Source organism: Homo sapiens, chromosome 2 (assembly GCF_000001405.40).
Source record: "Homo sapiens chromosome 2, GRCh38.p14 Primary Assembly".
Lineage (NCBI taxonomy): Eukaryota > Metazoa > Chordata > Mammalia > Primates > Hominidae > Homo > Homo sapiens.
Window position 1 is genome coordinate 158,529,913 of NC_000002.12, and position 15,903 is coordinate 158,545,815.

Below are 15,903 nucleotides of genomic sequence, written 5' to 3' on the forward strand. Positions count from 1 at the left end.
ATCATGGCTAAAACATTTGGTAGGGTTGGGTCAAGGTCAGACCTCTGGCATTATGTTAGAAACCTCTATAGGTTGATGTATTTCATTCAGCTGTTTACAGATTGTTGAAGTCAGCAGTTGCCCTTATTCCAGCCACATTTCTATGTTAATGACAATGTGATGGAGGACTTCTAATATCATACACGCCCCACTAGAGTTTGGGCAACACTGCATTTCCATGGTTACGCTGCCACAGACATTAGGCCAGCTTAACATGACTTTTCTGTGGTGCCCCATTTTAGTTCTCACAAATCACCTCTTGGATAAAATCCTTTAAAGAATCTCACCCAAGATCTGTGTCTAGCTCTGTAGTTTGTAATGTGAAGAGTCTACCTTCCCTTTTTCCAAAAACAGCCATGGCATTTTCCTCCTTCCAGTTTTCTGGCATGCCTTCATTCTCTGTAGAACCCTCAAAAATGGTTCAGCAACCTATCTGTAAGCTTTCCCAGGTCTCCTGAATGTGATCAGTCAAATCAAGCAAATTGAGGTCACTGAGGGAAGCGTGAGGCCTAATTTCTCACAGTCTCTTTACGATAGAAGTACTCTTTCTTTCTTTTTTTTTTTTTTTTTTTTTTTTGCTAGTGGAATGGAGCAATATCATTATTCTGTGACTCCAGTCTTAGCTTGATACTTTCTAATTCATTAAATGGTCTTACAATTATGAAAACTACAAGAAAATGGATAGGAAACCTTCATAGGTTTATAACTTGTCAGCACAGTGGTATCCCTCCCCTGCCCCATGTTGGTTGTGGCATATTGAGACTGCTTCAGAGATAAGGGGTAGGGAAGTGTCTCACCCTTAGTAACGACAGGTACCATTGGCTTTGCTCCTCATCTAATGACTGTTCATGGTTGCCTGTGGTGTGTCCTAACCTTTGAGGAATCAGAATAGATATCATCCATGTCTATGAAAATTTCCTCTCCTGCCAAGCTTCTCAGCATTATATTAGTTTCTTTTACACAGTTATAAGCTCTCTGACCCTCCTCCTCTTGACTTTAGCATTACTCCTTTGCATTTACATCTTGCCGTACTCTGCCTTGATCCTATGTTGCTGCATCAGCTAGGTGATGAGCCCCCTAATGGTCAATGTCCCTGGGAGAGTGGTACTCAGAAAGTGCTCCTCTGGGTTCATTGGTCCTGGGAAGCAGGGTCAGCAAGATAAATACTGTGAAATTAAGTATGATATCCTCACAGTGATGTAATACAATTACCATAATATAATTCTATGTCTTTTTAACAGTAAGGCTCCTTCTATATTAATAAATAATTACTTCCCCAGTGACATTTCTGTTTCTCCTTTTCTCAAATTATCTTTGTTCACTGAATTTTTCCTTCTTTTTCTTCTTACACATTGGTTGTTTCATATTATACTCTTGACATTTAAAATTTTTGGTTCTTGGCATTATTTGTTTCACTGTTGCATAGTAACATTTTTGTTCTTTGCAACCATCTGCTTATTTTAAGGTGTGTAATTTTTCAATGGCTGGAATACTTTTATATCTTTACTTGCCTTAAATGCTAATCTAGGATCTTTGTGTAGCATTTTTTTCCTTTATAGACCTTAGATCTTCTCTTTAATGAGCACTTGATACAGAAAGAAGAAATTTTATTTAGTTGATAATATTTTGTTTTACATCTCAATAAGCATTCCACATACACTAAAAAATATAGATTGCCATAAAATTATTACATTGTATAAAGAACTAGCCATTTTTATCAGTGAGGAAGTGAGGCTCAGCAAGGTAGAAACTCCCCCCAGGGCACTTAGGTTTTCATCCTACTCATCTCATGTCTCAGGATCCTTCTATTCATACTTGAGAAGATCCTGCCTGCAGTTCAAAGTCTATCTAGGCCTTATGTGCCATGAAAATGAGAGATTGAGAATTCACTTGCTAGATAGAGCAGGCAAGAGAACTCATGAGGCTGGGGAAATGCACAGATAAACTAATCAGACCCACTATCCATTTATGCCTATTAATATGGCAAGAATAAAACAACCACCAGCAGAAACCTGAAACTTAGACCCTCTCCACTAACATTTAAGCCAGGAGAGTAGGGAAGAAGATGGGATCTCAGAGGGTGTGTACATCTCCCCTTTTACTTACGGATTATTATTTTGGAAACAGAAGACTGATACTGAAATTTGAGGGAATGGGGTAACAAGTCCCAGATCAAGCTATAGAATTGAAGACTGTGGAAGTTAATTGATTATAAATGAATAATAATAGTAGAGTAGTTTGCAAGAGAAAACTGAAGAATGTTGAGAAAAATATTTATAGTCTCAGATGTCCCTATTTGAATATACAGAGTGACACATCTAAACAGATAGGGTCTCTCGGGCATCTTAAGCCTTGGCGGGATTTGCCTAATGACTGGAATGAGACTGAAAATATATCATCCTTCATTCATGTATTCATTTATTTAGCAAACATTAATTGAATACCATTTAATGTGCCAGGCACTAGGCTAGTTTCATGGTATGATAAAGACTGTACTCACTAGAAGACAGAGAGACTGATGTGTAAATGAGTTATTAAAATTTTAATAACATTTTACACTAATCATCGTTTCCCCCTATTTTCCAAAACTGTAGGAAGTCCATATCAGGTCAGTAAGTCTTTTGACAAACACACTGCTCTCACTATGTGTTGTCTTAGGAAAGGCATTCCATCTGCTGCCAAGAACCTATTCTATCATAAGCTATGGGCCTAAAAAATAGATTTTCTTTTCAACACCACATTCCTAGTTATTGTTATCTTTGAATAATCAGATTCTTCTAAAGAAACCAAGCTAGCTATAGGACTCCACCAAGGGTGACCTTGTTGCTAGTTATTAATATGTTATATTTCTTTTAAATAAGCAGACTTTTATTTTTAAGCCTTCTTTAGGTTTTAAACTCTTTTTTTCTTTTCTGTTGCAAAAACCTCTTCTGCAATTGGTAAAACATTCTTCTCATGTCAGTTAACATTTGTAGATGTCTTTTTGTGTGCATATTACTTTGAAAACAGACCCCTATAGCAATCTAGAATGTTTATTATTTAGTTTCTTGATAAGTTAGTCATATTTACTTATTGGTTACCTGTTTAGAAAATTTAGCAATTTCACAAGTTTTTGATCATGGTGTGTAGACTGTAGTCTACTGTAGTTGCTAGGAACCATCTGTAAAGCCTTGGTTCCTGCAAGGGAGCCCAGAAGAAAGTGTTAACCCTTTGCCTGCTTGATTGCAGGAGGAATGCCAGCTCCTGAGCAGGCCTCATTGGTGGAGGAGGGGCAACCACAGACCCGCCAGGAAGCTGCCTCCACTGGCCCAGGCATGGAACCCGAGACCACAGCCACCACTATTCTAGCATCCGTGAAGGAGCAGGTACATCCTCGTATTGAAAGTTGCAGTGAATTATTTCTTTAATGCCTTTAAAAAATTAATCTTTGGATATGTTTTAAATTTGTGTAACGTCCTTGACGCCTTCACGTTTTCTAATTATAAGGTGTTTACATCCCTGAGTACATTGGGATGACTGGCATGTAGAGCCGCTCCAGGTGCCAGTCAGAATCGGAACATGCAGGATACTTGTGCGTCTGCAAGTAAGGACAATCTCGATGGTGATCGGTGTCTCTGTCTCTCCCACATTGCAGAGTGTGTGCATGCACGCAAAGCTGTGTAAAGCATAGTTCTCAGTGCTGACTTTTCTATCAGGACTCTGGCAACCTGAGGCCTGTAATAGCGTTAGGTATTTTGAACATTTTAACATAGGTAGTATATAGGATTGTCTCTGTGATTTTTGGATAAAGGCTATATTTGTGTGTTTGTCTAAATTTAAGTATATTCATTTTGTGAGCTAATGTTCTAAAACTTGTCGAACTGTGCCAGTTTGCTTCAATGTCATGTTTATGTTGATTTTTTTAAGGCATTAATACTCTTTATCCTTCAAACTCAAGTAACCTCCTATATTAGGTCTTATCAGTTGTGCTTAGAGAAATTGGAATTCTGCAATTTTAATTTCTTAAGATTTCAAAGCTTAATAAGGTAAATGTAAATTTAAAGCTCCAGGGATGGTTTTTTTGTTTTTTTTTCCCTGCTTCTTCTCTCCAAAACAACATTATGTGTCCCCTGTGAGGGTTATTTTGTTGAAATAATCTAAGATTAAGTTTTTTTAAAACATCTTATAATTAAGCCACTAGATGTTTTTTTCTCAAGATAGGTAATGTTGTATTTGCTGGGATATTCCTTTGAAAGTCAGTATCAGTAACTCAAATGATGAATGATGACGAAGATTGAGGAAACATTTATTACCTTATTGTTGTACTATTTTTCGTAACTTGGAATGTGGCATGAAAGATTGCTCTATAACCGTGACACATGTCTGACGTTAGAACTGTGTTTTCAAGAAAAATTATTTCAGTTTATTCTAGTAACAAGATGTCAACATTTTTTTTTATTCCTCAATGAAATTTGAAGTTTTTAAACTTTCCACAAAGAGTTTGAGAAGATGCAAGATATAGTCAGTACAATTTTCATCTTCCACCAAACTATAAAATGTCTAAGCTTCTGTTATCTTTAGGAGAGAAAAAAGGACTCTTCGATAGCACTTCATAGTTGTCAAGATTTGACCCACGGAGCTGTTAAGATGAGAAGCCTCAGATTTATTTGGGGCTCTTAGTATATACTGTGTTTTGGTGAAACGTGGTAAATTTATCAAAATGTTTAGAAATGACTTAAAACTATTAACTGCGTGCAGTAAACATAGCAATGGGAATGTCTGTTTGTACCTTGAGACCATATACCCTACATGTAAGAAAATAAGGAAACTTGTTAAGATTTTGACACTAGAATTCCTTGATGGCCTCAAATGACTTCAAAATTTTATCTTCTGGCAGTAAATAGTGTTCTGAATAAGTATTTTGTGGGAAGTGCTAAGAAGAGTTCAGCTTCTCAAGGCAGCCAAAAATGTATTCATCTTATTCATTAAAACAGTTATTATATATAATTGTTTAGTTTAGTGGGATGCTATACTCTAGTCTTTGGTTCTGTTCCTATCCTGAGAAATTGGAGTTCATTAATATATATTTGCCGTTTCATACATAATTTCTTTTAAAAATTGTAAGTACTTAGCATTTCAGTTGTTTAACCCAGGATACCACATCTGTGTCTTTTTCCAAGATACTCTCCTGGTTTTAAATAGCTCCCCTGCAATTTTTGTGGCACCAGGCAAAATATAGTTGGAATAAAAATTTCTTAAGACTCTCCTGAAATATGTCACTTCCTATCATCTACCCAATGGGATAGAGCACAGAAAAGTTAGATCCAAGTAAGAAAACTAATTACCATTCACCTTATATGTTTGATTTTAAAATTTACTGGTCAGAGTGTGACACTCTTAGCCCACTGTTACATGCAATTGCAATAAATGTTGGTCATGTTTTATATCCAAAAGAGCAATATTCTTAAATGGGATGCATAATTATTATTACTTTTTAGAGCTGGGGTCTTGCTCTGTTGCCCAGGATGGAGTACAGTGTCACCTTCTTAGCTCACTGCAGCTTCAAACTCCTGGGCTCAAGCAATCCTCCCACCTCAGCCTCCCTAGTAGCTAGGACTACAGGTGTGTGCTACCGTGCCCAGCTAATTTTTAGTTTTTAATATTTTTTTGTAGAGATGGGGGTCTCACTACCTTGCCTAGACTGGTCTTGAACTCCTGGCCGCATGCAGTCCTCCTGCCTCAGCCTCTCTAAAGTGTGAGGATTATAAGTGTGAGCCAGTGTACCTGGCCCATAATTATTATTTTTTTAAAAAGCGTCACTGCCATGCCGTAATGGTATCCACTCTGTGATCTCAAATAACAGAACTTGCTTAGTGGCAGCTGTGTCTTAGGAATGATATTTCCTTAGGTCACAAAAGGAAGGGACCCTATCAATGCAACTGGGTACATAAAATTCTGTTTTCTCTTTTAACCATGTGACCTTGGAAAGATTTCTTAACCTTTCTGTTCTCAGTTTGCTCATTTATAAGATGCAGGTAATAATAGTGAGGACCTTAAATTAACATAGGTAAAATGCTTACAACAGTACCTGGCACTTAGTAAGGGCTAACATTACGATTGTCATCATCATTTCTGCATAAGAAGAAAAGGCTCCTCTTAGGAGGAGCTAGTGGTTCTACTTGTAACCATACTAAAGATTCAGTGAGCCCTTTTTTTGGACATTGATAGCAGAAGACAAACTTTGAATATTGAGCACTGTTTATGCTGTGACAGTAGTTTACTTATGCAGACACTAAACTTTAAAAACTTCATATTGATCTCACAAAAACTGTATACATAAACATACAATTTTATGTATATGTTATGAGAAAGAGCATATAAAAATAAGTTTTATGAACATGCTAATTTATTGCAACCCCAAACATAATGTCAAGGCACTTGGTTAAGGAATTGCAAAGTAGTATCTTATAAAATTAACCTGAATTTTGAGAGGAAAAGTCTGGGTTCTTCAGTAGAGTATATCTAAGCCAGTAAAATACCTCACACATACTCCCCTTGGGCAATTCATGGTAAGTGGTAGGAAAGGAAATGGCAAGCAACCAATAGCAGTCTTGTTAACAAACCGTTAGTCTATTAAATATCTGAAATTGGACATAGAGTGTCATAAAACAGTGAAATCTTTCTTCACTGGGCTATGCTTTCCCTAGAATCCTCCAGTGCCAGAAGCTAGCTGTTCCTTGTTCTTTGGCATAATGCTAGAATTTACAATGTCTTTTATGAAGTGATAACCTCTCACAGTGGTATCAGTCATGTGGATGCGTACCTGCGAAGGTACAGAAAAATCCTTGCTCCTTGACAGAAAGAATCTTTGCTACTTGTGTTCAAACGCTGCGTTTTTGATGAAACATACCCAGCCTGAAGTCAAATCTCTCTCCTGATCTCTTTTAGCACTTTATACTACTGCCATGACTCTTAATAGTATGCTTCTTTGGATTTATATAATCAGTTACCTGAGGATAGAGCCGTGTTTTAGGCCTTGTTTTATACCTGTGTTACAGGTTGCTCCTCTCCCAGCACCTTGGATATATTAGACCTGCAATAAATGGTTGTTCGAGCAGGGAATGAATAGATAATACTTACTGTCGATTACTTTGTCACCAACTTGCGGTTTTATTAAGATAACAGAACCTGTAGCCACGTTCACAGAAACATTGTGAGCAAGAGAGTCTCACAGCACCTAGAAAACTTGTCACTCAGCCAAACCTTCTTAAGACAATTTGAATTGCACTATATCCATATTGATAAAGGATTTAAATTCAATCTTTGCATAGTACAAAATAAAATTTTATTTCATATCTATGGTCAAATAATGACATAGGTGTCATAACTTTCATCTCCCGTCTGTCCAATTTAGTCGAAAGTTAAGTTTAGGGAATAAAAGGATGTGGTTATCTTGGTGATGTCACAAAATATCCACCAGTGTTATGTGTATCAGGTGATACGGGTAACTACTAAAGAAATGTTAAGAATTATGCTTTAAGAGAAATAAAAAGTCAATCCATGGGAATAACAAAGTAATGTGATTCTGAAATTACAGGAAGTATCAGAACTTCAGCCACCACCTGGCTGTAATTAGGATCATCCTTTAGCAGATTCTACTGTTCAGCTCAACTCCTAATAAGAATCCAGGAGTCCATGATGAATACAGATGTAGGAAAGGAGGAATCTCCTAATAGTTTTCAAAAATGTCTGACAAACTTGATACTGGTTAGTGCCTAGCTTACTCTCTTAGTTGTAATAACTAGATAAATACAGCGCTGGGCATGGTGGTTCATGCCTGTAATCCTAGCACTTTGGGAGGCTGAGGTGGGCAGATGGCTTGAGCTCAGGAGTTCAAGGCCAGCCTGGGCAACATGACAAAAACCCTGTCTCTACAAAAAATACAAAAAATTGGCCAGGTGTGATGGTGTGCGCCTGTGGTCCCAGCTACTCAGGAGAATCACTTGAGTCTGGGAGGTCAAGGCTGCAGTAAGCCGTGATCATGCCACTGCACTCCAGCCTGGGTGACAGAGCAAGAACCTGTCTCCAAAAAAAGAAAGAAAAATGTGGTGCCCTCAAAGGATCCTGCCTCTTCCTGTGGAAACCTTAGATTAAACTGATTGATTTGTCATTGAAATGCACAGCACACCCTTGGATGCAGAGAAATTGGAATTTGATAAGACATTCGCTGCTTATCCAGAGCCTTGCTGCTGCCCTCTGCAACTTACTTAGATGGGTCAGAATGCTCACTCACAGGCACAAGGAAACAGTGAGCCAAGCATCATGTGCAGGGTATTATTATCAAGTGGTAGAATACATTGTAGTTTTATAATGATTCCAATATGATCTCTTGGTTTTAGAAACACTCTTTAAAAGAGAACAATATGGCCAATCATGGCTAGGATTTGCAAGTATCTTTCACAAGTATCTTTGCAAGTTGATTTCTGGTTTTGTAGAATTGCACATGTAATATTCATTAGAGTTGTTCATCTTCTGTCATAAAGTTGCTTGAATAATTGAGATCTCTATTTGAACTTGGTCATACTTTTCAGGCTCTCTAACCACTTTTTTTTTTTTTTTTTTTTTTTGAGACAGACTCTCGCTCTGTCATCCAGGCTGGAGTGCAGTGGTGCGATCTTGGCTCACTGCAACCTCCGCCTTCTGGGTTCAAGCAACTCTTCTGCCTCAGCCTCCCAAGAGTAGCTGAGATTACAGGTGTCTGCCACTACACCCAGTTAATTTTTGTATTTTTAGTAGAGACGAGGTTTCTCCATGTTGGCCAGACTGGTCTCAAACTCCTGACCTCAGGTGATCTGCCCACCTTGGCCTCCCAAAGTGCTGGGATTACAGGTGTGAGCCACCACACCTGGCCCACAAACCGCATTCTTATATTTTTGGTTAATGATTTCAGAAGCTTAGAATCTAGATTTAAGGTTGAGGCCAATCCAGATAGCATGAACTGGTAAGCAAAGAATAGATTTGGTAAAATATGCTAATTTTATATGCACTCTTTTTACTCTGGTGAGGTCTCAAGTTAGATAGTGTATGCTTCTTTTGTTATCTTTGATGAGTGAAAATTGCAATGTTCCTCATCTGTGTGGCTCTTAAAGAGAATACCACTTTCAATATATTTTCTGGCTTTTGTGAAAATAACCATTCTATCTTCAGTATGTCCTTATTAACTTAAGTGATATTTAAATATCAAAGAGTGAAATGAGAGCCAGAGATCCTTAATTTTTTGAAGATAAAATAAGAAAATCTGAAGCCCAACTGTGTCCTATTGATGTTACTTCATTTTTACATAGATATCTTAGCTTCAGTAATTACACACCCTTCCTGTATGGCAAAATGCCCAGAAGTGAACAAATTCCAGTACAATTATTTACTTTATTCCTCTGGAACTGAAACAACTCAGCTGTTACACACCTGCCTTTGTAACTTCCTTTTGTTTGGCCCCTATGCTTATTTTCAATGAAATAGTCCTCTCTGACACACCTCAGCCACATGCAGAAGAGAGAATTTTTATTTCAGCTGTAAACAAGCATAGTTTGTCACTTAACTAGAAGTCTTGTGCTGTAAGTACAATGCCTGAAACTTCTGATTTTTCCAATTGGCAACTTAGTTATTTTTCCAATTGGTAACTGAATTATCCTGGCAGTTATTGTTACCGTGTAACCCACAGTGAAGTTTTCAGTGCCTGAACTGCAGCATCTAACCCAAGATAAGATTGGATCTCAGTGGTTTTTGAGGGATCATCAAATTTTACAGCTTTATCTCCATAATATTATAAAAATGAGGTTCAAAATGAGGACAAATGGCAGAGCCTTGTGACACTGTTTGGCTTGTATTCAAGAATTCTGAACTCTAAAATGGCTCTCAGGAGATCAGTCCTCTTAAGTTGCATGTACCATGGTCAGAATTTAACATTTCCCTTCATTTTGTTAACGATGCAGGGTGTCCTCCACCTCAAGCGTCCCTGTGATTAAAGAATACTACAGAGTATGGCCAACAGGTTTATTCAGTATTTGAGTACTGCCCACTCCTCAAAGAAGTTGTCCTTCTCAACATCAAAAAATTAGACTGCCAAGAGGTAGCTAACAACAAGCATATGCATTTGGCTACCTGCCTACATTTTCCGATAGTCTGATGAATGATCAGATGGAACTGCTAGCAAAGCTTCCAGTCTTATATGTCCTCAACTATATATTCAGAATAACTTAGTATTTGTTCTCTTTGATTTCATCGGAAGCATCATTTTAGGTTGTATTGACACTGAGGGGTTTGTTTGAAAGACTGTTCTATGAACTTGAACAGACTCCATGTGGCTGTTCACACATAACTGGATCACACATTCAAACATGGAAAACATAGTAGGTGCCCAAAATATTTATTAGTTAATGAACTAAAAATGTAAACATGTTTACAGTGCCTCCATACTTAGATTAAGCTTGCTTTTAATTAATTAAAAAATGTTTATTTAAAGACTACTCTGAGCAAAGCACTTTGTCAAGGAATGGGTTGAGGGGGATAAGTAGACATATAAAGTTGACCTATTTCATATAGTTTCTACTCTCAGAAGAATGCAGAGGCACAAACCGTATTTATACTTCAATATAGAGTAATTGACACATTATGAATATTCATTAATTGATGCATAAGAGACAAGAATGTGTGTACTTTTGCCCCCTTTTAGTTTAAACAGGCTATCAGTATGTATTATGTCAGTTTTATGTAAGTTTGTTAACTTAGGCATTTTTAGGTTTAATTTTTACCACTGAATTACCATTAGCTTTTATTTACATTTGAAAGTAATAGAATATTTTTGTTTAATTTTTACCATTGAATTAGCATTGTTTCGTTTACATTTGAAAATGATAGAATATTTTTCTTTGTTAACACTTAAAGCCAACCATGACTTTATACCTTTAAAATTATAATTTCCTTTTCAGTTGAATAATCCAGTTTACAATTCTTTTCAGAGTTAAATTATGAATATATGGAATAATTTCCCCCTGTATATGCAAACTTTATGCTGTTAAATTTGAAATGAGTGACTGCTGAGTTGATGAGATTAAATGGATGAGAGGATTATTCAGCATTGAATTCTCTGCTTTGCATGATCGTTTTTCTTTTTAGAATCACTTCTGGAGAGAAAAATATTTCGGAAACATGTTTTTCCCTTCAGGTATAACCCTAAAGTTATTCCGTAGCTATTGCAAAACATAGCCTATCCAGTGCCTATCTTCATGTTTAAGGGCTCCCAATTTCTAAATTGCCATTTTTGTTACTTTGCAAAAATGTGTCCATATGGTCTCACTTCATCTGTTTATATTTTATGAATGTATTGTTCCCAAAGTGATCAGATCTGCTTGTACCTCAGCAAAGTAATTTGGTTTATGGCTATTTTATTTCAGGCATTCCTAAGAAAGATCATTTAAAATGTAAAGTTATTTTCAGTAGTTCAAAGACAAATCTATTTCTTAGCTTATAGAATCTTAAGAGTTTTTATGTACCCAAACCTTAATAATGTAGGAGTTACACAAAGTAGAAGCAGTCTGCAAGCAAATTGAAATAACACATTATTGAAACTTGAAGACAAATAACATCCTATGCAATTATATTCTATATAATTATATTTCAAATATGAAAATAGCTATAATAAATTAAAAGTATACTTAGAATTTCAATCTCTGTGGCTCTTGAAAGAAAATTTAATTTTTCCTTTAAAAATTGGAGTTCAAAGCATTTCAATTTATAGACTGTTTAGTGTTTTAACTTGTAGTCTTTTTCTTATGAAAATTCCTATAAAGCAACGCGGCATCAGTGAAGTGTTCATCGTGAGTTATCATCTACCCTAATAGGCATATATCTCATTTAAAAATTTTCCCCAAATCATTCTAAGAGCCTAAACCAAGATTAAGGTCTTAACCACTGCCTATGGCCTTCTAATAAACTATTCTGGCAGAATTAATAACTCTTACTATTTCATCCATATGTAGTATTTCTGTATTCTGGTATTCCTTCAGAAATGCCTTTCCATCACAAAGTTGACATGAGCCATGATTTCTCTTCTTTTGAAAATACTTCTGTTAATTATTTTCAAAGTAAGCCCTTTATGCCCAACTGAAGAGTCAAGTAACACCGTTTTTCATTCATAACCTTAGCTGCCTTATACACCCCATGGTTTAAGTCTAGGACTATTGGAAGGGATGCTGCTTACTGGAGATTTCCCATTGTCCCACTTTCTCATTTGTTCCTTAATAAGATAAGTAATATTATTTTTCTATAATGTAAGCTCTTAACAGCAGGATTTTTATTTTATTTCAGTTAGCAAAGAATAATGAAAAAGCAAATTTTTTAACTATGATGTGAAAAAATATATCTTAGTGATTGCTGCTGTTGACATTCTAAGCTGATTGATTAGAAGATTTGAAGGCCTGTAGGTAAGATTATGAAAAATATTTGTGTATTTATGGGTACTGAACAGAATGCTGTTGCATTTCGCTCATTTGATCTGCACTACAGAACTGGGCAAATGTGTTTTACTGATGTGGAATAATTTATCTAGTTGAATAATTTTTTTTTAAAAGCAAACTTTTTAACCTAGGATAAAACTTCAGTTTCCCACTGAAAACCTTTGTCAGAGTTGGAGAGTGCTCTTCTTACTTTAAAACCAGTAGATCAGAAATGCAAAGAATGGATCATCTCTGACAGGTCTGCCATTGTGCGAAAAAAGACCCTTCATTGCTTTACTGGGCCTGCTGCTTTTTGATGCAGCTAGATTGCTATCTCTGTTCTCCTTACTACTACTACCACCACCACCACTACCACTATTACTACTGCTTCTGCTGCTACCACAACAGGAAACAAATGACAAATCTAGAAAAATTGTAATTGTGAGTAAGATATGAGAATCAGTGATCTCTATGGAATAGAAATCCAATAGGAGACTAACAGCTAACAATTATTGAGTACTTACTATGTATCAGACATTGTACTTAATTCTATAAGTGGTAGATTTTCTATGTTCCTTATCACAAATTTTGGGGTTAATGTAGTAAAAAATCTTTCAGGTTATTTTGGTCACTGAACATTTCATCTCAATTTCTTTGTGCCATGAGTTTTCGTACCTTTTTCAACTTTGTGAGGCAATATATAGTCTTGAACTGTACAATATCCTTTCAGTTCAGATTTTTTTAAATTTTTGGAATATTTGCAAAATATACGTACAAATCGAGCATCTCTAGTCCAAAATATCTGAATGTTGGAGCATTTTGAATTTTGGGTTTTCTGGTTAGGAATGCTCAACAGGTATATATTTGGTTATCTTTGTATTTTTGTGGAATGTGTTTTAGATATGCACATTTGGTTACATTAGTGGTAGAGGCTAAAAAGAGGAGAAGGGACCAAAGAACAAGAAATGGAAAACACAAGATCAAAATTAGGGGACAGTGACAGCAACAGCTGATGGTCTTATGTCGGGGGAAGAGACAGAACAACTGCAAGATAGGTCCAGAGGCTAATGGTGTCTCCATGCAGTTGTGAATGTTCATAGTGGTGCTTTCAGTCATCAAGAAAAGTGTGTGCTCTGTATATTCTGGTTAATAAGTCAGAAAATAAGTAATAATACTAGAGTAGTATTTGAAATCAGAAAATAAATTGGCATTTGAAGGATAAACTTTGGATATCCAGAAATTACAATCCTGCAGAACAGCTCTTTACTCAAAGATGAGAGAAATGAAAAATTATTAAGTAATGCAAAGGATCAAGGTAGCCAGTTTTCAAATGTAATGCATTAAAAGGTCGTAACTCCCTTGGGAGAAGAGCACTGAGAGACCAGGGTAGTTCTCCGTACGTGGTTACTCTTACCCAGAAAAGCAAGGTAGAATTTTGTTGTTAGAATAATAATTAGTGTTCACTGAGCACTTACTATGGGTATCACTGTGCAGGTGATGACATGTGTACCTCATTTAATTTCTCATCACTTTGCGGTTCAGGAATTATGAGGATTATCTCATTTGAAATGAGAGGAAACTGAGGTGTAAATTGATTGCTAAAGCTGTTGATAGTCACACACAATTCATAAGCAATCAGCCTGAATTCTCCTCCCCACCCCTAGTCCACCACCACTCACAGAGCTTGTGCTCTTGCCAGGGCTTACTAGAGCCATGCTTAAGTGAAGCAAAATCACTTCCTAGCTTTGTGGCTCCAGGGCAGCCAGCCAGGTAGTGTTTCCAAGCCTCAGTCTGCCTGTTAGACAGTGGGGATAAGAGCAATTAGTTGACTGCCTATTACATAGGGGCATCGTAAGACTCATGAAAATAAAGGTTCTTAGAAATCCAAAAACAATTTTGTAAAAAGGACTGTTATAAAGCATTGTTATGGATATCCTTAAGTCAGCAAAGTAAAAATACACTTATTTCCTTTTGGGAAGTATTATATAACATTATGCACTAAGAAATAAGAATTAGAGTAATTTAGGCCTAAATATTGTCAAATTAGAAATTTTAATTTGGTTTTCCCCACCGTAAGTATTCTCTTATCTTCCCCTCCCCCAGCTCAACAAGAAAAGTCCTCGTTATATTGTATTAATTTCATTCTGATGATATGTAGGCTGCACAAAAAAGACAGCAAGGGTAATGAATTTGCTTCTTACACTGATCGGTGAATATGGTATGAATTGAACATCCCACCAGGAGCCAGAAGATCCTGTGCTGTCATTCAGTTGTCTCTTCAACCTGGTAAATGCAGAGTGTTTCTCTGCCACTACTCCAACTTATCTGTTATCCATATGTGTTGGATGAGTTCATGTTCCTCATCTGTTGGAGCTGCAGAAGACAAACACTGTGTCAAGAGGGCCCTTTTTTAACTGCAGGTGGAAACAGAGCAGTAGCCATGAAGTGATATTTAAGGAAGCTAGAGCTTAATGAATGAAAGTCCCCTGTCCCACCTAGAGCTATGTATTCTCCAAGGCCTCTCATTCACAGGACTAGGATTTGGTTCCATCCTCTGAATGTACAGTGCCATTGGGCACCCAGAGATCCAGCACTTGTATTTTTGAGTCCAAAGTGTAAAAGAGAGCAGGCCTAACCTAAGTCTTTCACTTTTTTTTTTTTTTTTTTTTTTTTTTGAGCCACTGGGCACAAGGCAGTTGGGTATTCCTTTTGATTAGCTTTTGTTAGCTCAGGAGGAAGCCTTTCATCACTTCCCCCTTTGGGGGCTCAGCTTCCTCACCAGGCATTCTGGGCCTTCACTCTCTCCCTCTGTACTCCCTTCTTTGACAAAGGTTTCCTTTTCCTGTTCCCTTAGCTTTGTCCTTTTTGCACTTTCTGTAATCCCACCAGCAGCAGTGTTCCCTTTTGTTTGGAAATAAGGACGAGAAAGAAAGGGAGGTGGAGAAGTTTTAAAATTTTGAGAAATGAATAAATCTGTTCTTTTAAGTCATAAACCGCTGAAGGTCAGGTGCCCTTGTTAAATATTGTTGAGCACTAATAAAATCTCATGAGCCTAATACTTTTGATAGAGCATAGCTATTAGGGAGTCTAAGCAGTTGCAGAGGTTAGGATTTTCCTAATAATACTTGCATTCAGTTCATAATCTTATACTTATTTAAACCTGTTTCTAGTCACTTTTCATCATATCCATGAATAATTACAGCTACTCATTCTTATATCCATATATAACTGCATATTTACCCCCTAGGTTTATGCTTGATTTAAACCTGGTACCATAGTTATTCCTAATTGTAAACTGATGATGAGATTTCACATGTGTATTGCATAATTTAATTAGTTTAGTGTTTGTAAAAATTCTTTGAAGGTAAAATATTTTCATAAATGCCAAGAA

General features: G+C 36.6%; 1 protein-coding gene across 14 annotated transcripts in view; it reads left to right on the forward strand.

The window, feature by feature from the left end:
* The window catches only part of PKP4 (plakophilin 4), a 224,478-nt gene that overhangs the window by 72,961 nt on the left and 135,614 nt on the right, over positions 1-15,903 (forward strand). For 13 of the 14 annotated variants that reach the window (NM_001377220.1, NM_003628.6, NM_001005476.4 and 10 more), the window contains one exon: positions 3,268-3,404. In NM_001377220.1, the coding sequence (NP_001364149.1) occupies positions 3,273-3,404 (132 nt within the window). In that variant the 5' untranslated portion in view covers positions 3,268-3,272. The remainder of the gene's footprint in view (positions 1-3,267; positions 3,405-15,903) is intronic. The other variant, NM_001377225.1, reaches the window with a different exon arrangement.